Genomic DNA, 23,278 nt, shown 5'->3' with positions numbered 1-23,278 from the left:
TACCTCATTTAATCCTTATAACATAACTGTGAGATTAGTATTATCCCATTTTACAGATGAGGAAACCAAGGCTCAAAAGAACTCAGCAACTTTACTGGCTGGATACAAACCACAGTGGTTAAAACTCAAAGACCATGCTTCTTCTGTCATACTTGTGGTCCCCAGTTTTCTTTGTTTACATACTAAAAATGGAAAATATCTTTACAGTCCCAAGGCCAGGTACTCTACTCCAAGGAAGCTTATGAATAGTTGAATCCTGGGTAGAGTTGCCCTCTCTACCAAAGGCAGCAAAAATGCATAAAGGCTGCCGCTCCCCTTCCAGGGCTGGGTAGATGCCCTTTCCTCTCCGAGGCTGTAAGAGAGGCCTCAATGGATGTTTTGCCAACAGTGTTCCCAGAGAGTTCATCTCGTGGGATTTTCCTTGGTGGGATGTAGAAAAAACAGCCTCAGAGAATTTCCCAGATGCTTCCAGTGTCATGAACGGTGCCCTCCCCAGCTCTCAGGTTTCCTGGCTCTCTATCTGAGCACCTTGGTGCCTTTCTGGAGACAGAGTGCAGAAACTCTTTTCTGGAGTGGTTTCTTCAATTATCAAGCCAAAGGAAGGATCTAACAGCAGTTTTCCAGCATGACAGGACTTGTTTAGAACAAACTTAAGTAATAGGGTGGAGATATCTGTACTTTTTCCAGTAAAGCAATGAAATATTTATGAATTGCAAGAACCAACACTTCCTGTTACAGCTGGAAGCTCTGAGAACCATCTGATTTCTTCTCTTGAAAAACAAGTTTGTAAACAAGGAGAAAGTGTCAATAGACATATGAAGGTGACAGATAGACAAGTTCCTTCAAGAAGCTCGAATATTCTAATTTTCTGGTCCTGAGTTAAATTAAGTGTTTCAAATATGAATTAAATTTAAATTTAATTAGCATCCAATTAACATACACTATCAACCAATTAATCACACAACACCTTCTTCCCCCCTAAAGATATAACAACTATATGTGAGATCTGTCAAAATGAAATATAATTCATGGGTTGACAAGGACATGCTTTTGAGAACAGTTCTTCTAATAGGAAATTCTCTCCTTAGAAAGACTTGTTTCTCCTCCTCCCAAGGCAATGATATTCAAATCAACCCCTGGAATTAAGCAGACCCTGTAATTTGGGTTGATTAAGCTCTTTATGCTTTAAAAGGATCGTTGAGGAGAAAACCATGTCAGTTAGCAAGAAGTGGCCATGGAGCGCACGGGATTATCTCAGGCAGATGATCCTAAATTCTCCAGAGAAAGAAAGGGTCCACCAGGAAAGACAGGCACATTGTTGATCCCTTCTTGGCCATGCTGTGCTCCATGTCACACCTAGGATGGAATTACAGTGAGCTACTCTGTTTCCAAGTAGAATTGGAGGAGAAGAAGAGGGTTTGAGTTTCAGGAAAAGTGTTGATGTTGAAGGAGCTGAACGAATGAGACATGTAAAGAAATGTGACCCTCTCGCCACACTTCTGGGTTCTGACTGTTCTCAACAAGCCTGGAAACTCAAGCCCACACCTGGAGCCCAGGCCCAAGGTCGTCTGTACATTCTGGCTGAATTTCTCCTCAAGACCCGTATGGAACAGGTTGGGGTTCAGTCTTTGGCCACACAGACCCGTGTCAGCTGCTGCACCAGGGTGAATGGCCATTCTCTGGATACTATTGCACTGCCATCTTATACTTGAAGGGCAATTTAATTTTCTTCTTTTTTTTTGAGATGGAGTTTCACTCTTGTTGCCCAGGCTGGAGTGCCGTGGTGCAACCTCGGCTTACTGCAACCTCTGCCTCCTGGGTTCAAGCAATTCTCCTGCCTCAGCCTCCCAAGTAGCTGGGATTACAGGCATACACCACCACACCTGGCTAATTTTGTGTTTTTAGTAGAGATGGGGTTTCTCCATGTTGCTTAGGCTGGTCTCGAATTCCTGACCTCAGGTGATCTGCCCACCTCAGCCTCCCAAAGTGCTGGGATTACAGGCACGAGCCACTGTGCCCGGCCTGCAATTTAATTTTCAAAGTGGCTTCCCATTTGTTATCTCTTTTCGCCGTCTCCACTGCTGCCTTCCTTGTCCATCTGCTCTCACCTGGTAACTACACATCTTCCCAAATGGTAAGATGTGTAGCTTTTGCCCTAGACTCCCTACACCATATTCTCAAAACGGCAGACAAGAATACCCTTGTAAAATGTAAATTGGATCACGCCCATCCCCTGTTTTATGCCCTCCAGTGGCATCCTGTCTCACTTGGAGCAAAAGCCAGTTTGTTGACTTCCACTAAACTTGCATCTTTGTTTTTCTCTCCTGTTCTCCTCCTCAAGCTCTGCTCCAGGCACCCCGTTTCTCTTTTTTTTCTTCCCTTTTCTTTTTTTTTTTTTTTTTTTTTTTTTTTTTTTTTGAGATGGAGTCTCACTCTGTCGCCCAGGCTGGAATGCAGTGGCACTGTTTTGGCTGGCTCACTGCAACCTCCGTCTCCTGGGTTCAAGCAATTCTCCTGCCTTAGCCTCCCGAGTAGTTGTTTCTGATCATGAGTCACTCGCTGACCCATGGCTTTGCTCTGGCTGTACCCTCTGCCTCGAATCCTCTTCTTCCAAATGCCAGCACAGTTTGCTCCCTCATACCCCAGCAGGTGTTTATTTACCCAGGTGCTATTTTTCCAGTAAGGTCTTCCCTGGTACGCGCCCTAAAGTTCAAAGCCCCACCTGCTATCCTCTGCCCCAGCTTCATGTCTCTTTACATCACTTGTTACCTCCTAATATATCTTTACTTATTATCTTGTGTATTACCCCATCCATCCCCTTCAATTTCATTATACTATATTTGAACTTTCCACAATTCCAAGTAGAATGTCTTCCTCACTAGATGATAAATCTTTGATGATTTCACTATGATTTGTGTCATTAAGTGAAAGGTATTAGGTGGGAGAGAGCTGTCTTTCTGTAATAATTGTAAGCACAATGCCCTTTGAGATTGGACATTTGATTAGATCTTTTAAGGTTCTGTCCAACCTTGCGGTTTATAATAAACAGGTTACAGAGATTCATTTTACATAAAGTTTCAGACATCTGAGTTCCTATATAATTAGTGTAATTAAGCACTCAAATATTTGTTGAGCTAATAATGCAAATGGCAAGAGAATTCAGAACTGTGATGAGCTTGATCTTTGGCCTTCTCTCTGTACACTAAAACTATAAGCCCATTGATGCCTTAACCAAGCTCTTTGTTCCTACTTTTCTAAACTATCCTGCTTCTAAACCATTCTGTCTTGTGGGTCTTTATGAATTCTTTTGTTTTAAAAATTATTTATATTTTCAAAAAGAACAAGAAGAGACTTAAAGTCTTTAAAGAGACATAAAACAGACCAATTACAATAAAGACTAAATAGGGATTGCTAAACAATACAGAATGAGAAGAAACTTAATTACACTAGTAATGTAGGATGACATAGTTACTGTAAACACGTAAAAATTGATCTCAAATTTTCCTTTATGAACTGCTTGCCTGAAAGCTCAGAACTAAATCTGTGTTTAATTACAATAACCATGTCATCTCACTCAAGTTACTGGTACAGAGCCATCTCTTCTTTCCTCTAAAAATTTTGCAGGCACCAAATTCTAGGAGGCATATATCACAGATATTTATAAAACAGATATCAGGCTACAGAATGGTCTTCAACTGAGATTTTACAGAAGGCATAAAAAATAACTTAAAATTATCTTTTATTATAGTAACCCTCAACAAAACCCAAGGGCGGACCATTATGTTGTAATTTAATGAAGGGAATGAAAGCAGTACAGCTAGGTTTGTGGAGTTCAGAGAAACTGCTGGAATGGAGAATGAACACAGATCTCTGTCTCTCTCAGCTTGAGGTGTCAGTGTTATGAACCTGTGGTTTGTGCATGACTACCCAGTAGTCAATTGAAGGCTGACTTTTTCAATGACTGATGGAAGGGCCTATTATATTGACTATCACAGAAGAAGATATCCATATGCTCTAGATATCAGATGAGTGGAAGCAGAGTTGGCGTTCTATTATGAAAATTAAGATGTATGACTTAAAGTCTTATCAAAGTAGAAGGTCTTCATAGTTTCATGAAATTAGACAGCTTTGGTGTTAACTCATAGGATGACTTTGAGATAAGTCCTTAACACCTCTAAGCTTCATTTAATTAACTTGTTAAAATGGGGACTATCATCAGATCTGTGCTGGACACCATTTCCAACCTCCTTCTCTTTAGGCAGTCTTCAGCTGGGGTGGTCATGAGGCACAGTTTTGAACATGAAGACATAGGCATAAGTTTATAAAGTTCCTGGAGAGTTATCATGTCAGGACATGGGCTCTATCTCCCCCTACCACTTTTTTTTTTTTTTTTTGAATGCAGATGTGATGGCTGATACAGCAGCCATTCTGCCACCTTGAAGGAGCAGCCAAGAGAACAGCAAATATCTTAACATTGATATCACTGTCATTAACCTGATATTAGCAACTGCCCACCTTCAGAATTCCTGTCTTATAAAAAACAGAATATTTACGCCACTAACGTCAGATTTTCCACTACTTGCGGTCAAAAGCCATACTGAAATAGTTTCATAGGCTGGGGAGGATTAAAGAACTAAGGTGAGGAAAGCCCTTTGTACAAGGGTTGACCAACTGTAAACATTAAAGTGTGTGCTATCCATACTGTAAGTCGGAAGCACAGCCCCCACTGGTATCAAGGAGTTCTGAATCCATGTTTAGAGAAATACAATGGAGACTCCACAACTGGATGTAGTGAAAGAGAGGAGAAATGCAGGTATTATCAGCCAGCTGCCTCCTCTATAAAAGAACATCTGATTGGCCCGGCGCGGTGGCTCACGCCTATAATCCCAGCACTTTGGGAGCCCGAGGCGGGCGGATCACGAGGTCAGGAGATTGAGACCACGGTGAAATCCCGTCTCTACTAAAAATACAAAAAATTAGCCGGGCATGGTGGCGGGTGCCTGTAGTCCCAGCTACTTGGGAGGCTGAGGCAGGAGAATGGCGTGAACCCAGGAGGCGGAGCTTGCAGTGAGCCGAGATCGCGCCACTGCACTCCAGCCTGGGGGACAGAGCAAGACTCTGTCTCAAAAAAAAAAAAAAAAAAAAAAAAAAAGAACATCTGATTTTGAGAAAAATAGCATCTGATGGATTGGCAGGATGAATGAGCTGCAAAAAGTCCCCCTGGAGACCTCTAGGGATTGACCTACTGGGTGGAGTTACTGTCTATTTGAAAGCTGGAATATTTTTTCCCAAAACATTATTTCTGTTTTAGCATAGCTTGTGTTAAACTTATTTTTCAAGCAAAAAAGGTTTGCTTTTGTTGTTTTTTTGTTTTTGGCAGTTGGGGCTTAGAAATTATTGTTCAATGTAGATTCTTAAATTTGAGAAGTATGTTGTTAATATGATTATAATAACAGCTTCCATTTACAAAGCACTTATTGTATGCTGGGAATCATTTTGAGTGTTTTACATACTTTATCTTACTATTCAAGAATGAAAAGAATGAACTGTTGATTCACTCAACAACATGGATAAATCTCAAAATCATGCTGAGTGAAAGAAGCCAGGCAAAAAGAGAGTGCACATTTTGTGACTCCATTACATAAATTTCTAGAAAATGCAAACTAATTTATAGTGATAGAAAGCAGATCAGTTGTTGTCTGAAACAGGGCAGGTGGGGGGCGTTGGGAGGAAGGGATTACAAAGGAACGTGAGGAAACGTTTGGAGGTGACGGTTATGTTCATTATTTCAATTATGATGATTTCATGATGTATAAATATTTTGAAATGTATCAAATTGTACACCTTAAATATGTACAGTTTATTGTATGTCGATTATAACTCAATATAGTTTTTTTTAGAAAAGAAAAAATGTAAAAAGATTATGCTGCCTTTCAGTAGGAGAAAGGATGAGCTGTGATTTATTCACACAATGGAATTCTATGCAGCAGCGAAAATATATGAAATAGATCTGCATGTATTAAGACAATGATTAAAATAGTAATGATATGGGTTGGCTGTGTCCCCACCCTAATCTCATCTTGAATTGTAGCTCCCATAATCCCTACGTGTCCTACCTGGTGGGAGGTAATTGAATCATGAGGACGGGTTTCCTGTGCTGGTCTCATGATAGTGAATAAGTCTCATGAGATTTGATGGCTTTATAAATGGCAGTTCCCCCACACACACGCTCTTGCCTGCCACCATGTGGGATGTGCTTTTGCTCCTCCTTTGCCTTCCACCATGACTGTGAGGCTTCCCCAGTCATATGGAACTGTGAGTCCATTAAACCTCTGTCCTTTATAAATTACCCAGTCTCGGGAATGTCTTTATAGCAGTGTGAGAACAGACTAATGCAAGTAAGTTGCCAAAGAAAGGTATAGTATGGCAAATTTAAAGTTTAAGTATGCAACACTATGTATTTTATGGCTACATATTTGTTTCAAGAGTGTAAACTTGTAATGATACACATTGAGTTTAGTACTCTAGTTAATAAGGGGCAGGAAGGAGAAAGGAGCGACAGGGGTGGTGTATTAGCTGTACTTGTTTTTAATTCTATTTTATTTTATTTTGTGGCAGGGATCTCACTCTGTTGCCCAGGCTGGAGAGCAGTGATGTGATCTTGGCTCACTGCAACCTCAACCTCCCAGGTTTAAGCGATTCTCCTGCCTCAGCCTCCTGAGTAGCTGGGACTACAGGCACGCACCACCACGCCTGGCTAATTTTTTTTTTTGTATTTTTGATAGAGACAGGGTTTCACCATGTTGGCCAGGCTGGTCTCGAACTCCTGACCTCAGGTGATCTGCCCGCCTCAGCCTCCCAAAGTGCTGGGATTACAGGCATGAGCCTCCACGCCCCACTTATTAGCTGCACTCATAAGGCTAAGTTCCATTTAGCATAATGCTAACACTTTAGCATCTGTTAAATCTGGATAGTGCTACACTGGCATCTGTTATATTGTTTTCTGTACTTTTGTACATGTTTGAAATATTTTATAATTAAACATAAAAGGTTTAAATAATTCTCTATTCCACCCTCAGCACCCAGTCAGTTTCCCTTGCCAGGGACAACTGCTGTCTGTGTTTCTTTTGTGTCCTTCTGGAGATTGTCTAAGTTTTTATATAAGCATAAATTATGTGTATGTGTATATATTATATATATTTTAAAAAATCATATAAGTGAGTAAATTTTTATATATTTCTTTTTAAACAAGATACAGTTTGGAGCATGCTATATATACTGTTCTATATCTTCCTTTTCTCACTCAACAAAATTTTGGAAATAGTTCCAACTCAGTGCCTACAGAATTTTCTCATTCTTTCCAACATTGCTTAGTATTCTATCATACAGACAATTAGGCTGTTTCTCCCCTTTTACCATTACAGACACATTATAAACATAAATTTGCACATCTGTCTGGGTGTTCTAACTGTCCTTTCAAGCAGACTATGCCACCTCACATCCAACTTTTTCTTAAATACACAGGGTCTCAAGTGCAAATAACGATTAAGACACTGGGCTGCAAAATGAGTTAACGGGTTCATGAAGGAGGTGCAACAGTTTGCCTCTTCATTGAATGATACTAGAGCAGCTGTCTTTTGAGTTTACACATCTCTCTTACATTCAGCTGATTCTCCAAATTCCTGTTTGATACCTGGTTTCTAGCTGTCACTTTTTAAATCGTTGGTAACACCCTTTCTTCTGCCATTTTGTTGCTCTTAAAATGTCTTGGGCTAAGAAGCCCAAATAATCAAGATTGTTTGCACTGTGAACAAGGCAAGAGGAAGGAAGTTCCCATAAGGGAATACAGCATTTTTCAGAGTTAAGGATCTGAGCTTTATTGCATGAATGTTGTAACATATATGCTGCTACTCTGGGCTTCGGCTGACTCCCCAATTCCTGGTTGCCTCTGGACAGGAGAGGTTATGGAACAGTAGCTTTCTCCATCCCTTAGTGTGCTAGGAGGGTTGGCTTCAAGATCTAACGTTACCAAGAGGCCATTAGGGAATTAACAAGAAACAGAAAGTGTTGGGTTTTGGTGAATGCTCAGCTACAGTGAGAGCCAGTTTTCATCTCGGCCCTATTTAATAGCATTTTGAGATTTTTTTGTAGTCACTACTGGGGAGGCTGAGGCAGGAGAATCGCTTGAACCTAGGAGGCAGAGGATACAATGAACCAAGATTACACCACTGCACTCCAGCCTGGGTGAGAGAGCGAGACTCTGTCTCAAGAAAGAAAAAAAGAAATTCTCTGTGTTCTAACAGGAGGGAAGGAGAAAGCCCTCTAGGTGAGAGATCCAGAGTGAGAATGACAGGTCAGGGCAGTGTGAGAAACTCATCTTCTCTTCCTTGCTTCCAAATGTTTACCCTCTATTTAAAGGATATTTTAAAAATATTATAAAACCACTTTAATAGAATTAAATCACTTTTTCTGTTTAATTTTATTAGATTATTAATTTTAATAATTTTAGAATAAATTATTATTCTATTTAGTAAAATTAAATAGAAAATCATTTAAATAGAAAATCAATTAAATACAAAAACATTCCTCTGGAATACTTGAATAGTACTCCTAATGATAATAGTAATAATGTTGAATATTTATTGCAGCTTTCAAAGTATTTTCTTAGCAGGGAAGCAGTATAGCCTAGTGGTTAAGAGCACAGGCTCTGAAGTCAGACTCTCTGGGGTCAAACCTTGGCTCCCCAACTTACTGTGTGTCATAAGGTAGCTTGTTTAACTTCTCTGTGCCTTAGTTTTCTCATGTATAAAATGAAGGTAATACAAATTCTTATTCACAGGGCTGTACAAGATTTAAGAAGTAAAAAAAGAGAAAAGTGTAAAAGTCTAAGTCAGATTCACACTCCTGATAAGTCTTTGATAAATGTCAGTTGTTGTTGTTGCTATTATTATTATTATTAGTAGTAGTAGTGTAGTTGTAACAGTAGTAAGAATTGAGGTAAATGGGCAGAGCTGGTAATCTGATCAGTTGTTGGACTCAAGGCTTGAAAATAAGGGTACATATTTGAACAAGAAAGAGGAATTCTATGAGGCAGACAGCGAACTGCTAAGATTTAAATTAGCCAGACAGGTGAAGTCGGCTTAAGGCCACTGCCAGGTGCTGATGTGATGACTTCGGCCTTGATGGAAGGTTAAGATATGATAGTATTGAGGCTTCATGGAGTAAGGACTAAGCCAGTGGTTTATTGGAGCTGATTATTGAAACCAAGGGAATTGTGCAAGCTGGTTGTTAAACATGACCATTATTAAAAAATAAATTAGGCTGGCTGCAGTGGCTCACACCTGTAATCCCAGCACTTTGGGAGGCCGAGGCAGGTGGATCACCTGAGGTCAGGAGTTCGAGACCAGCCTGGCCAACATGGTGAAACCCTGTCTCCACTAAAAATCCAAAAATTAGCTGGGTGTCTTGGCAGGTGCCTGTAATCCCAGCTACTTGGGAGGCTGAGACAAGAGAATTGCTTGAACCCGGGAGGCAGAGGTTGCAGTGAGCCAAGCCTCATGCCACTGCACTCCAGCCTGGGTGACAAAGAGTGAAACTCCATCTCAAAAATAAATAAATAAATAGGTATAGATAAACTTAAAATTAAGTAAATTATATTGAAAATCATGGTAATAAATATTCAAAACTCATCACATTTTATGACATTTACTATCATGTGTATACTGGAGGTTATTTTCATCCATTGTATCTGTGAAGTGGAAATGTTTATAATGGTGTGCTACTGTGTATCTCTTCCTGACTCCTTGTTCACTGACATTGCATTGGTAGCTTACAATTGGCCACGGTGGGAGTATTTACACCATGGAAATTGGCAAACACCACAAACCAGGGTTTGATTTGTTTTGTAGACTTGTGAAAATATAAGGAAAATGTTAATAATACAGATTATACTTAAAAGTATGTCATGCTTGTTGCTGTGACATTGTGAAGAGCACAAAAAATGGAAGAACGATTCCTTCAGTACTTGAATAGAAGATGTTTACATCTTTGACAAACTAGTAAAGTTCTGATGTAAATCTTTGTTGCTTCATTTTGTCTTACTTGTTAATTTTCATGTCTGAACTACAGTCAGTTGCTGGATTGGGATTGGCTCAGCAGTGGATGAAGTCTAGAGGTGAGTTTGAAATAGGTGAAGAAGTCTCTGCCATCGAAGGGCGGGTGGGGGGAAGCCGGAATCTCTGTCCACATGCTCCAGGCACCTAGCTGCTCTGAGGGGCAGAGAGCAGAGGTGGTGCTCCCCCCCATCAGCATTTTGAGTTGGCTAGACCCTAATCCTACAAGAGCTGGCAAAACTTTGCAGAAAGAATTCCCCCAGGGGCACTGGGGAAAGCAGAGTGTCAGCAGAGGCAACATCGCGGGCTGACTCTGGTTTACACCAGGCAGGGATGGCAGAAAGACTGGGTAAAATGGTCATGGCAGAGCAAGTGGTGGTGCACACGAAGCCTGCTTTGCAAGTCTGCTGGCCTAAGGCCTGGGTGATGTAGCGGATAACGAGAGTGCCAGGTTCACTTTTCACATTATAAGCTATGGCTCCTAACTTATCCAGCTGCAAACAGCTCATATCTAGGTGTGGGGAGGCACTGCAGTGTCACCTGGGAAAGCTCAGACCAAGTAACAGAGTGGGACAAGGCTGTCGGTGTTTGGGAAGTAAGAACAGGGTTTCTCCCCAGCCCTGCCTCTCCCCTCATTTTGTTGGAAGAATGGCTTGGAAGCTTCTCCAAAACAAAGCTGTTTTAGTTAATGTGTTGTTTCCATAAAAAAGGAGACTGTGTCGTAAATGAGTTAAGGGGAGAGAGACTCTGGCAAGGGTAAAACATCACCGGTGGCCCATGTCTATTTGGGAGCTCTGTGTGTAAACACCGGGGAAAAGCAAGCCCCAGGTGGAGTCAGACCAGATGTGTCATGCCTGCCTCACCACTTGGTGGTGACTTTGGGCAATCACATCCTTTTACCTGAGCCTCAGTTTCCCCACCCATAACATATGAGAGATGAATTAAATGATCTCTAGAGATACTTTCAGTGCCGGAAGTCTGCAAGTTCTTGCAAATCTCTCCATGGCTTGTAGCTCTCTTTGTCATCAAGGTGCTGAACTGCTCTGTGTTGAACACCTTGCTCTTGAGGAATTTAACAGACCAGGGAGGAATGTAGAAAGAAAGACCAGAAGCAGTGCTAAGGGGTGCTGGAGGAGCCAGAAAGAGGTGTGTAGGGAGAGGTGAGAAGGGGCGTGTGGGAGGAAGTGCGCAGTGCTGGGGTATGCAGAACTCAAGTCAGGCAGGCACCTGACGCTTGGCTTCAGCTCTGTGTCAGGTGACACGGCCACCCAGATGCCCCCCACCCCAGGTGCCCTGGGCTGCTTACCCTGCAGCATTGCTGACGTGGTGTAGTAGTTGAATGGCACGTTTTTCACCAGGTATGCCTCGGGGTCAAGGCTGGCCAGCTTAGCTCCCACCAGCACCGACTTGCCAGTGCCAGCCGTGCCCACCAGCATGACAGGCCGCTGCCGCGCCATCAACCGCTCCATGAAGTAGCACACACGGATGGTCTCACTCGTGTGCACCAAACACGCCTGGAATGGGAGCACAATAAGCCTGCCAAGGGTGGGCTCTAGGGAGAAACAGATGCACCAGCGGCGTTCCGAAGCATTTCAGAACAGGGGATTCCGTCACGATGGAGCTCCCCAAATAAGCACCGGTCAGGAGTATCTTCCCTGATGTTCACAGTGGGACCATTCTACAGACTCACTCTCTGGGCTCCCCGCAGTTAGGCAGAGAGCTTCCCCGCTCTCCTCTACCACCCGGGCCTCTTTCTCTGTGGCCTCTCTAATGCATTTTAAAATCTTCTGCCCCTGCCATTTCCTCCTCTCTTGAGGAAATGTCCTGGCCTTTAGTAGAATCTGTGACTTCATTACACCCATCATCTCCTCTGCAAAGTCATGGAGCTGGGGATGACTAGTTCCTAGCAAGGACAAATGCTCAGATAGCCATGCGGGGCTGCTACTGGAGCCACTGCAGATCCTTGAGGGCAACTGCACGCACGTCCTCGGCTGCTCAGCTGCACTCACCTGCAAGGGCATCTCGGGGTCAAATTCGAACTGGGGGACGAGCTTGGACCAAGGCTCGAATTTCTTGGTCTCTGGGTCGATGTAATAGTCAAAGATGGTTCCTTGGGAAGGAAACTTGACTGTTTTGAACTCAGTCAGCCACCATTTGCTGAACTCTGCCCGGTAGTCCACAAGCTGCAAAAACAAAGACAGTCAGGGGACAAGGTCCTCCAGAACTCAAGAAGCCCACACAGGAGGCCACGGCGTCAGATAGAAGGTCAGGGCAGGACAACGTGCTCCTCCCTGTGTGGGCCTGCCGGCTAGACCAGCTCCTCCAGGAAGGCAGCGCTGCCCCAAGGGTCAACCCTGACCAAGCCGGACTACGCAGGGGCCACGCACAGGCATCCTTGCTTGACCATGCGGCTGAGCCAGCCTGGTCCTGCCATGTCTTACAGCCACTGAAGGGTGGAGATGGTTGAGGGAGGGAGGTGGAAGAACACGGGGGAGAATCAAGAACTCCTGAAGAGGTAGATTGGCCCCATTCTTCGGTGCCTGAGATTCTCTGCAGTTCCCAGGATGGCAGCCTAAGGTTGGAATGGAATGGTGACTCTTGACACCTGGGGCACAGAGCGCTGCAGTGAGAAGAGCCTCAGAAGGGGTTTGGGTATCAGCTAGGTAACCACAGGCAAATCCTTCTTTCTATGCCTCAATCTCCTCGTCTGCAAAATGAGGTTTCTGGAAAGATTTCCAAGGTTCTTGCAAGAGCTAAAATCCTAGAATCTAGGAGCAGTGGGGGAGACAGAGCTGTACTGGTTTTTCTGACAGAAGGAATAGGTAGAAGCATATAATTTGCATGCATACCTATTAGATAATGGGCCCCTTACGCATGGGGCTGTATACCCAGTGTACTCAAACCATCTTATTGTGTCCAAACACACACACACACACTCAGACCCAAAACATACCCATTACTACTGGCAACTCTTTGGGAGGGCAAACCCATTCTTTAAACACACTGAACTAAGAAAAATCCTAAAGGAAAAAAAAAGTCCCATATTGGTCATTTTAGGAAATATTCATGGAGGGCAGGACAATGACAGTTTAAAGGCTGAAGAGACCAGGGAGCTGGGCACATGGTAACAACTATGAAACCCGAAAAAAGGGCACTCCTCATTTTGCTGTTAAATAAATAGGATTGAATTCTTTTGCTTTAAAATGAGAGTGGAAATGGGTGGTAAGATAAGAAAAGATTTGTTTGATGTTCTCATTCTGATTTGAATTTAGATCAAGGGGACGTTATAACTTCCCAATATTGTTCTCTGGAACCAGAAGCCTAGAGGAAACCCCCATTCTTAACTCCTAGATAATACGCTTCAAGACCTTCAACTTTCTACGAAAACCAGATTTTAGGTTTCTATGGAAACTCTGAGATGAAGGCCACCTCTAGAAGGAAGGAAGGGTGGGTCTTGTTTCCTCAGCCCCGATGCTGCCTTGAGATGCCTGGCAATTTCCCAGCTAAGCCCTTGGCTGGGCCACACCGACATTGTCTCACCTTCCTGTAAGCTGGTGCTTGACCGCACCTTGTACTATAATTGGACACTGTAAAGTCAAGGTGACCTCTGCTGGGCCAGTCCAGTGGTCCTTTCTTTTTCCTTTTCTTTCTTTTTTTTTTTTTTTTTGAGACAGAGTCTTGCTCTGTTGCCCAGGCTGGAGGGCAGTGGCGCGATCTCAGCTCACGGCAACCTCTGCCTCCCGGGTCCAAGCTGTTCTCTGCCTCAGCCTCCCGAGTAGCTGGGATTACAGGCACCCGCCACCATGCCCAAGCCCGGCTAATTTTTTGTATTTTTAGTAGAGATGGGGTTTCACCATATTGTCCAGGCTGGTCTTGAACTACGGACCTCATGATCCACCCGCCTTGGCCTCCCAAAGTGCTGGGATTACAGGCGTGAGCCACCGCACCCAGCCCAATGATCCTTTCTTAATTCCACTCCATGGTATCTCTTCAGCATGGTCCCTTCTGAAGTCCCCATGTCCCCTGGGCTCTCACAGTTCACTGTTTTCTCTCTGCCCTTTAACCTGGAGGACATGAGGACTTTACTGGCATACTGTGGTAGAGCTGGGAACCCAGTGTTACTTCGCTTCATTTTCACAATGCTATAGGTTATCCTGGTTACTTAAAATCACTCCCATTTTATAAAGTGGGGGTTTTATGAAACGACAGAATTGGGAGTTGAACCCAGGTTGTCAGTCTCACAATCTGGTGTTTTCTCTACCTTACGTTTCCGAGAGATTGTTCTCTCTAAGGGCTGCAAGGTATTCAGCCAGGACTTTTTTTTTTTTTTAAATGGGAACTTCTACTCAGGTATAGCCTCCATTTTGTATTTCTGCTTTGCTTTTATGACAGTTTTTTTCAATGTAAGCACCATTGCTGTTCCTGATGTGAATATTTTGACCAAACTCCTACCTTCCTATTGACAGCACTATTTTTGGTGTTTAGCTTTTAATGCAGGCAGTGTAGGGGTCTGGGATGTGCCCTGCTGCTAAAAGCTTTCTCCCTTGTCCTCTTCCCAGGTTGCTGGCAGGGCTGTCAATTGCTTCAAGTGCTCCAGTGCGCAGGACGCCTGGAGGGATGCTTTCTCCGGGGCTTTTAAAAGGCTTGAGGGGATTTAAATTTTTATACCCAGAGTTAGAAAAATTGATCACATATTTTCATCCTGATACTCCACTGCCTGCGCACCACCAATATGAGAGAGTAGCTCAGCAGTCGCTGTCTGACGTTTTCCCAGCCCACAGGTCAGAGACTGCATTTGACGGGGAGCAATTAAACCTATGCATTCGGGATCTCTGTGCAGTTCAGCCAGGTCTCATCCATCCTGCTGAAATCTTTGCCTCCTTGCCTCAAAGGGGAAATGTAAAGCTGTCAAAGGAGTAGTCCACAGAGAAGCTCCAAAGACTACAGAACAGACAGCAGAAAATTCTCAGATGTCAAACTCCTGGCTCATGTATCCTCCTGTCCTTGGAGACTTCCCTTTCTGCCTCCAGGGCATCTGTCTCTGGGGAGGGCAGTAGAGAAAGGTGCACTTCCTGAGAGCCTGCGAGAGCTGCTTTCTGAATTTTGAGCACCAAAGAACACATCAGGGAGTGATGGTTGGTAGGACGGATGTTAACAGCCAGGGCCCTTGAAAATGAAAAAGAAGTTAATTGCAAATTCTTTTTTGTCCAAGTTCACTTTCATTTTGGATTTCTAGAACATGGTTTTGCCTTGGGAGGCTGAAACTTTCTACCTTCCTTTGAAAGAGGCTCACAATCAATCCAGACTGAGAAGAGTAAATGATAACTTTCCAACAATTACAGCTTGGTCTGATCCCCTGTTGCAAGAGAGACACCAGATACGTGCTACAGAACTGAATATTTTTACTAGAAGAATAGTAATAATAAGCACCCATGGGTTGTGCTAAGTACCTTGCATGTATTCATGCTGAGTGATTAGAACATTATGCATTCACTTAGTCCTCGCCACCCTCCTAGGAGCTGGGTACCCCTATGATCATTCTTTGTGCACATGGGGAGAGTAAGGTAGAGAGAGGTTAAGTTACTTTCCTAACGTTCCCCAGATAATAGTGGCAGAGCTACAATTCAAATCCACAGTTCATGTTCTTTTTTGCTTTTATTTTTGCTTTTCTCAGCTATTTTTTAAAATCACTTTATTGTGGTATGACTGATATACAAAAAGCTGCACATATTTAATGCATATGATGTGATGAGTTTGGAAAAAAGTATACACTTGTGAAACCATCGCCACAATCTATGCATAAACCTACATATCACCTTCAAAGTTCCCTTCCATGCTCTTATTTATCGTTGTTATTGTTATTGTTGTTTTGTGCTAAGAACATTTGATGTAAGATTTATCTTCCCTCTTCGCAATTTTTTTTTTTAAGAAAAAGGAAATCTTTCCATTTGCAACAACGTGATGAACCTGGAGACTGTTATGCTAGGTGAAATAAGCCAGGCACAGAAGAACAAATCTGACATGATATCACTTACATGATACAGCTAAAATAGTCAATTCACAGAAGCAGAGAGAGGAATTGAGGTTGCCAGTGGCTGGGGGAGGGAGCAATGGAAGGTATAGGTCAAAGGGTACAAAATTTTGGTTATAAAAATGATTAAGTTCAAGATGAATAAATCTTCTGTACAGGAAAGTTCCTATAGTAACAATACTGTATTGTATACTTAAAATTTGCTAACAGAGTCCATGTTCTTAACTGTCATACAATAATGCCTAATAGCTAGAGTCAGTTATAGGAGACTGGTTTGCATAATATTGAATATTTTTCTTTCTAGATAAAATATCTTTTATTTGGAGAAAAATAAGTAAAGAAAAATGCTGGGAATACAAGAAGGGTTGGGGGACAGGATGCAAGGATATTCCAAGCCACATATCCCTTCTTCCAATCAACATGAGACTATAGCAGTCAACACTATAAGATAAATTCCACTTTGGTTTTCCAATCCTAGATGCTAATTAGACTTTGGTCCAGCCTTCTCTGGACAGCTTTGAGTTTCGCGCGTATGGAGATATGATAGTTAACTCTGGCCTGGTAGGGAGTGGTACATCCTTGTTCTAGAGGTTTTTAAGAAAACTGAAGGGTTTCCTTCCACTCAAGCTTCCACGGCACAGCCTCCTTCCACCCCTCTCTCCACAAACACACCACCTGGCAAAGTAGTGCATATATACCAGCAGTTGTTCAAACTCAAACACTGTATAAGTTCCCAAGAAATCAAAGATATGTTCAGTAGCTCAAAAAGGAAAAGCTCCGAACACACCACGACCTCATGTATCTCACCCTATGAGGTCTGGCTAGGACAACTGATGTCTTTAGCAGAGTAATAGGTAGATGACTAAATAGTTTGCTGCTTTCAAGTCCATTCTGACATTTAGCTGTCCTGTCTTCCAAATCTTTGCTAAAGGATCAGTTTTTGCTGCTACAGACTTCAGTGTGGTTGTTGAGCTCAACATATCTCCTTACCTGATCTTGGACCATTGCTCCGCCGAAAGCCCAGATGGCAGCAAACACAAAATAATGCTCATAAATTTCCTTAGGGCAGTCTGCAGGGATGTCCTCCGTGGTCAGGAGACATTCCAGAAGGTGACACACCATCTGAACCATGCTCTGCTCTGGGATGGGAATGATCTTCTTAAACCTGCAAAGAGAGACCCGAGGGGATCTGAAACACAGAGGATATTCCATTCTGGTGGTGCTGTTGGACAGCTATGGAACCACTCAGTTTCAGTGGACTCATGGTCCGTCAAGTTCTTTGGGATTACAGACAACCAGAGCGCCACTTAAGCCTTTATTCTCATCAGCTGTTCTCGCGCCAGCTTCCTTTGTAAGGAAGTAAGGGCCCAGAGCTCTCCTGAGGACTTTCTCATCTCCTTTCCTCTGACACCCTCCCCCTCCCACTTCTTCTTCCCTCTTCTCTTTCTGTTGATGATCCCCTCTCAGTACCTGGGGAACACAGGTGGCTGCAACAAGTAACTTTTTCGCTCATTTCACACTTTCTGCAATTGTCAAAAAGCACCTCAACGGTAATCCCAGCACTTTGGGAGGCTGAGGAGGGAGGATCACGAGGTCAGGAGATCGAGACCATTCTGGCTAACATGGTGAAACCCCGTCTCTACTAAAAATACAAAAAATTAGCCGGGCACGGTGGCGGGCACCTGTACTCCCAGCTACTTGGGAGGCTGAGGCAGAAGAATGGCGTGAACCCGGGAGGCGGAGCTTGCAGTGAGCTGAGATCGGGCCACTGCATTCCAGCCTGGGTTACAGAGTGAGACTCCATCTCAAAAAAAAAAAAAAAAAAAAAAAAAAACAAAAAAAAAAACGCACCTAAAGAGGCAATTTTGGTGCATTTCTGAGGCTTGCCCTTCTACCTCTTCACCTCAGAGGTTTCCTTCCATTGAAAACACCAAAAACACTTTTTCTGGGGCCAGGATCTTATCTGGGAAGTAGAGTGGACCAGGACAGATGGTTATTTTATACAATCATGATGAACTGAATGGAGTTCTTCAACTGAAAATACACCTCTGTAACTCTGCCCTGGCCTGGTGTTTGCACTTTTAATCTTGGCTTTAGAGGCCTTAATTGAAAGGCAGATATCAAGAGATGCACAAAAGACATCCTATGCCTCATGCAGCAGGAGCATGCACAAGCTCACACACACATACTTTTCTTCCCATAGGTATCCTCATCACACCACATGTATATGCAGAGCACACCACGTACCCACACACTCAGCCCACATTGCCACCTCCCACAGGATGAAGTGTTCATAGGCAGCATGGAGGCAGAGTCCGTTTTCATAACAAATACAGCACTGTCAATGGACACCTTAACAGTCATTTCCCAGCACTGAACCTGAGAGCTGCACAGCACGCCATTCACTTTTTAGCATTTGTGCTGGTTTTGAATCTAATTGCAATTCTTACAACAAATGCTATGACAGTTTTAGAGTCTAGTAATCTAGGTATTACTTCCATGAGTGACGAGAAGACTGACTCCTTGATGGGTGTTCCCTCATTTGTTTGATGTGTATTTGTAACAGACGGATATAACACAACTCTCTTGGGCTCAGTGCTGGATATGCCACCAAGAGGATAGGTGCCAACTGCCCTTCCATTCCAAACAGAGATTCTAGACAACTTAGGTGGGACTCGCAGAGGGTTTTGCAACCCTGGCTTCTCACCCTCTCAAGAGTACAGAGGACAAAGTGGAAAGGCTGGAAGGCCTGGAAATTAGCAATCAGAGTACTAGAGAGAGCTCTGGGTAGGCAATGAGTGTCCCCTCCTGCACAGGGAAGGTAGCTGCTTTCCCCTAATAGCCAGGGAAAGGGGCTTCAATAGGGTTACTCCGAGTTGGTGAAGGACTCTTGCCTGGAAAACCCCCGAGACTTGCTGATCTCCCAGTGGAGAGTGGGGAGGTAACTTGCAGGGGCAGCCTGTGCTCCAGTTTGTCAAAGCAGAGAAGGGGCAAGCATCTCCTGGAATCCAGGTGTGGGCTGTGTGCAGCAGGGGTTGTCTGAGTGCTTGGCTAAGGGATAAGGTGAGGCAGATGGGGTTTGTGTGGGAGCGGGACCTGACCAGCTAGAGAAGCAGTTTCTTTCTTCCAGAATAACAGATGAAAGATTTCCAGTGATGGGGAGGAGCCAAGGAGCTCCCAAAAACTATCAAAGAGAAGTCGGATTTCCCCTCTTCTCTCCACCCCGCTTTTACAGCGATGGGTCAGAAGTCATAGCCAGGGAGCTGGTCACTGGCAGATAAAGGAGAGAAGTCAAAAACACGCCTCTTTCCCATTGCAGTCCTGAGCTGAGGCAGGTGGGGCAGAAGCCTCCATTATGAATGGAGTTTGTTTCTTTATATTTTCACTGGACTAACACACATGTGTATGTATGACTGTGTGACTAGAAGTGATCAGATGCCTTTTTATTACAGAAAAGTCATAGACCTTGACCTAGATCTCATGCAGGGTCAGGAGAAGAACTAGTCACATACAATGGTTTTAAAGGAACAGTAGGAAATAAAATAAAGCTGCTTTATAATTGCCCCTTATGGGCCTGCTTATTCAATAAAAAATTATTATCTGTTGACATGACACGGCTTCGTAGTGACAGGGCCACATGAAGCTGGCATTACAACACTGTGACTGTATAAAATAGAAGGAAGGCTTTAAAGCAAGTGCCTGTTACTAACTGGCTATGATGCCAGGGGAGCATCGCGGAGCTGCAGCTCCCCCATCCGCAGGGTGGCTGTGAGAGTGAAAAGACATCCGCCGGGCGCGGCGGCTCACGCCTGTAATCCCAGCACTTTGGGAGGCCGAGGAGGGCAGATCACGAGGTCAAGAGATTGAGACCATCCTGGCAAACATGGTGAAACTCCGTTTCTACCAAAAATATAAAAATTAGCTGGGTGTGGTGGCATGCACCTGTAGTCCCAGATACTCGGGAGGCTGAGGCAGGAGAATCTCTTGAACCTGGGAGGCAGAGGTTGCAGTGAGCCAAGATCGCGCCACTGCACTCCAGCCTGGGCGACAGAGCAAGACTCCGTCTCAAAAAAAAAATAAAAATAAAAAAAACTAACAACAAAAGACATTACACCCAGAGTGAGCACCCATAATTGAGAGTTCGGGGGAGAGTTGCCTCTGGATAGACTTAATACAGTCAGAATATTCAAAGCTGTTTCAAAGGCTTGTGCATGCACCGGCACACATGCACAAACAAAGACACATGAGCTTGCCATCTCTTGTTCTAAATGCCCAGAGTGAGAAATAGCAGACTTTTAGTTAAAGGATATATGGGACAAGTGTCTCAGGAAAATCCTAAAGAACGGGGATGCAAAGGAAAAGAAATTATTTTATCAAAAAGATACCTGCACTCTTATGTTTATTGCAGCACTATTCACAATAGCGAAGTCATGGAATCAACCTGAGTTTCCATCAATGGATGATTGAATTTAAAAGGTGGTGTAGGCGGGCACAGTGGCTTATACCTATAATTTCAGCACTTTGGGATACTGAGGCAGGCGGATCACCTGAGGTCAGGAGTTTGAGACCAGCCTGGTCAACATGGCAAAACCCTGTCTCTACTAAAAATACAAAAATTAGGCTGGGTGCGGTGGCTCACGCCTGTAATCCCAGCACTTTGGGAGGCCGAGGCGGCCACATCACAAGGTCAAGAGATCAAGATCATCCTGGCCAACATGGTGAAACCCCATCTCTACTAAAAATACAAAATATTAGCTGGGCATGGTGGCACGTGCCTGTAGTCCCAGCTACTTGGCAGGCTGAGGCAGGAGAATAGCTTGAACCCAGGAGGCAGAGGTTGCAGTGAGCTGAGATCACGCCATTGCACTCCAGCCTGGTCTACAGAGCGAGACTCTGACCAAAAAAAAAAAAAAAATTAGGTGGGCATGGTAATGCACACTTGTAATCCCAGCTACTCAGAAGGCTGAGGCAGGAGAATCACTTGAACCCAGGAGGTGGAGGTTGCAGTGAGCCAAGATCGCACCACTGCACTCCAGCCTGGGTGACAGAGCGAGACAACGACTCAAAAAAAAAAAAAAAAAAAAAAAGTGGTGTGTATATATACCTATGTATATCACATGGAATACTACTTAGTCATAAAAAAGAATGAAATCATGTCTTTTGCAGCAACATGCATGGAACTGGAGTCCATTATCCTTAGCAAAATGACCGCAAAATGGATAGTCAAAAACTGCATGTTCTCACTTATAAGTGGGAGCTAAACAGTAGGTATATATGGAAATATAGAGTGAAATAATAAACACCAGAGACTCCAAAAGGTGGGAGGGTGGCAGGGGGTTGAGGGTTGAAATACCCCCATTGGATACAATGTATGCTATTCAGGTGGTGGCTACACTAAAGGGCCAGACTTCACCACTATGCCATATATCCCTGTAACACAACTGCACTTCCATCCCTAAATCTATACAAATAAAACTTTAAAAAACATTTTAAAACTCAAAAAAAGAAAAAAAAAAAAGAACAGGGATAGACTATTTTCCTAAAACCTTACCCTTCTCTGGTTTTCTAACTCTTGGCTGCCCTAGTCCATCTGTGATATTAACTACTGTTTTCCACTTCCAGACTTTTTTAGCTACACGGGCTGCTTTAGCCCATTACATCCCAAGGCCACAGAGCCCATGGGTCACCCACGGACTGAAAGCCTTTCAAAGGCTTATACAAATGTTGAGTTGGAATAATAATTATTGACCCTGAAATAGAAAAACTATGAAATCAAAAGTAATGTTTCATTAAACAACGAAAATAGACCACAATGTCACCTACTTGACTGCAACTCAATTTTTAGGTATACAAAATTCACTTTGAACGTGAGTGGATTTTTCAGGGTGTGGGGCGGGGCATATGGAATGAGAGCACCTGGAGCCCTGTTGCAGTATCGTTTCCTGCAGTCTGAAGTGCTCCCTTCCCCTTGGCCTCCATGCTTGCAAACCATTGGAGGCACAATCATATCCCATGCTTGACAAGCCAAGGAAGAAAGAGGCAGGGATCAACTTCAATGATGGACTTTAGTTTCCGGGAAACATAATCCTGACCCTAAATTGTGGCATCTTCATGGGGCTCTGAGTCACATTGCCTTCACAGCACCAGCCTCAGGGGCCCATTCTTGCCTCCACTACAGGGATGGGTGTCAGATTCACAGAATGATGCATCAAATGGCAACAACAACCATAAAAAGAGTGTAAAACAAAAGCAGGTTCCAAACATGGGCAGCTCCCTGTGCTGACACAGATAGTATTCTTGCTGTAGTAAGTATCCTCTTGGTCAAGAGTGATTAACCTCTTGCTTAGTGATAAGTGGTCAGGGCTTGTTGCTCTTACTTTTACAAACCTATAAGAGGAAAAGTAAACTCACCATATCCAGCAGGGCAGGACTGTCAGATGGTACATTATACCCACATTATCTGGGCCGTGAACACACACAGCCAGGGACGGGGAGTGGGCCCCACAGGTCACCAATAAGTGCCATTTTCACCCCTAGGTCTGTTGATCTGGCCTATGGATTACTTATTACAAATGCAGAGCTGCTTGCCCTGTACACAGAAGGATCTGAGTGTCTGGATTGTAATCTGATACTACAACCCGCAGCCTCCTTCACATACATCCACGTGGCACTCACGAAAGGGACTTTCAATCTTCCTCCCCTTCACTCACCTCACTTCATGCCTGAGCTGACAACAGGCATCCCATGGCCATCCTAATGTGTGTCCCCTTTGCCATCTGCCATGCCTGGAGGAGATCGCTCTGGGAACATCTGACTTTGGGACAGGACAGAACATCAGCAGGACACTAGGTGTGAACCCATGGGCTTTTTATTGCTGCTTTAACTCTCTATCTTCCTTGTTTCTTGGCCTACCTGGTTCTGAGTGTGTCTAGGCAGGTTGGAAGATACTTGTCGAACAAAATGGTTAAGTTGGCTCTCTCTGTCTGGATTTCCCTCTTCTCAATCCAGCTGCTCACTGGAGGGTTCCATCCCAAGTCTGCCGGGTTGATGTACAAGATCCCTGTGAGCACAGAGAATACAGTTTAGTGAATATTCCATATACATCATTATATTTTTCACCCCAGGGAGTTATTTT

At 43.7% G+C, this 23,278-nt stretch overlaps 1 protein-coding gene across 6 annotated transcripts in view; it reads right to left on the bottom strand.

The window, feature by feature from the left end:
- The window catches only part of DNAH9 (dynein axonemal heavy chain 9), a 371,279-nt gene that overhangs the window by 189,001 nt on the left and 159,000 nt on the right, over nt 1–23,278 (bottom strand). For all 6 annotated transcript variants that reach the window (XM_011523703.3, NM_001372.4, XM_017024292.3 and 3 more), the window contains 4 exons: nt 23,056–23,203; nt 17,134–17,308; nt 12,122–12,295; nt 11,419–11,626 (listed from right to left, as the gene is read on the bottom strand). In XM_011523703.3, the coding sequence (XP_011522005.1) occupies nt 11,419–11,626; nt 12,122–12,295; nt 17,134–17,308; nt 23,056–23,203 (705 nt within the window). The remainder of the gene's footprint in view (nt 1–11,418; nt 11,627–12,121; nt 12,296–17,133; nt 17,309–23,055; nt 23,204–23,278) is intronic.

This window comes from Homo sapiens, chromosome 17 (genome assembly GCF_000001405.40).
Source record: "Homo sapiens chromosome 17, GRCh38.p14 Primary Assembly".
NCBI classification, from domain to species: Eukaryota; Metazoa; Chordata; class Mammalia; order Primates; family Hominidae; genus Homo; species Homo sapiens.
The sequence above is the reverse complement of the archived record's forward strand: the minus strand, read 5'-3'. Positions and strand labels throughout refer to the sequence as shown.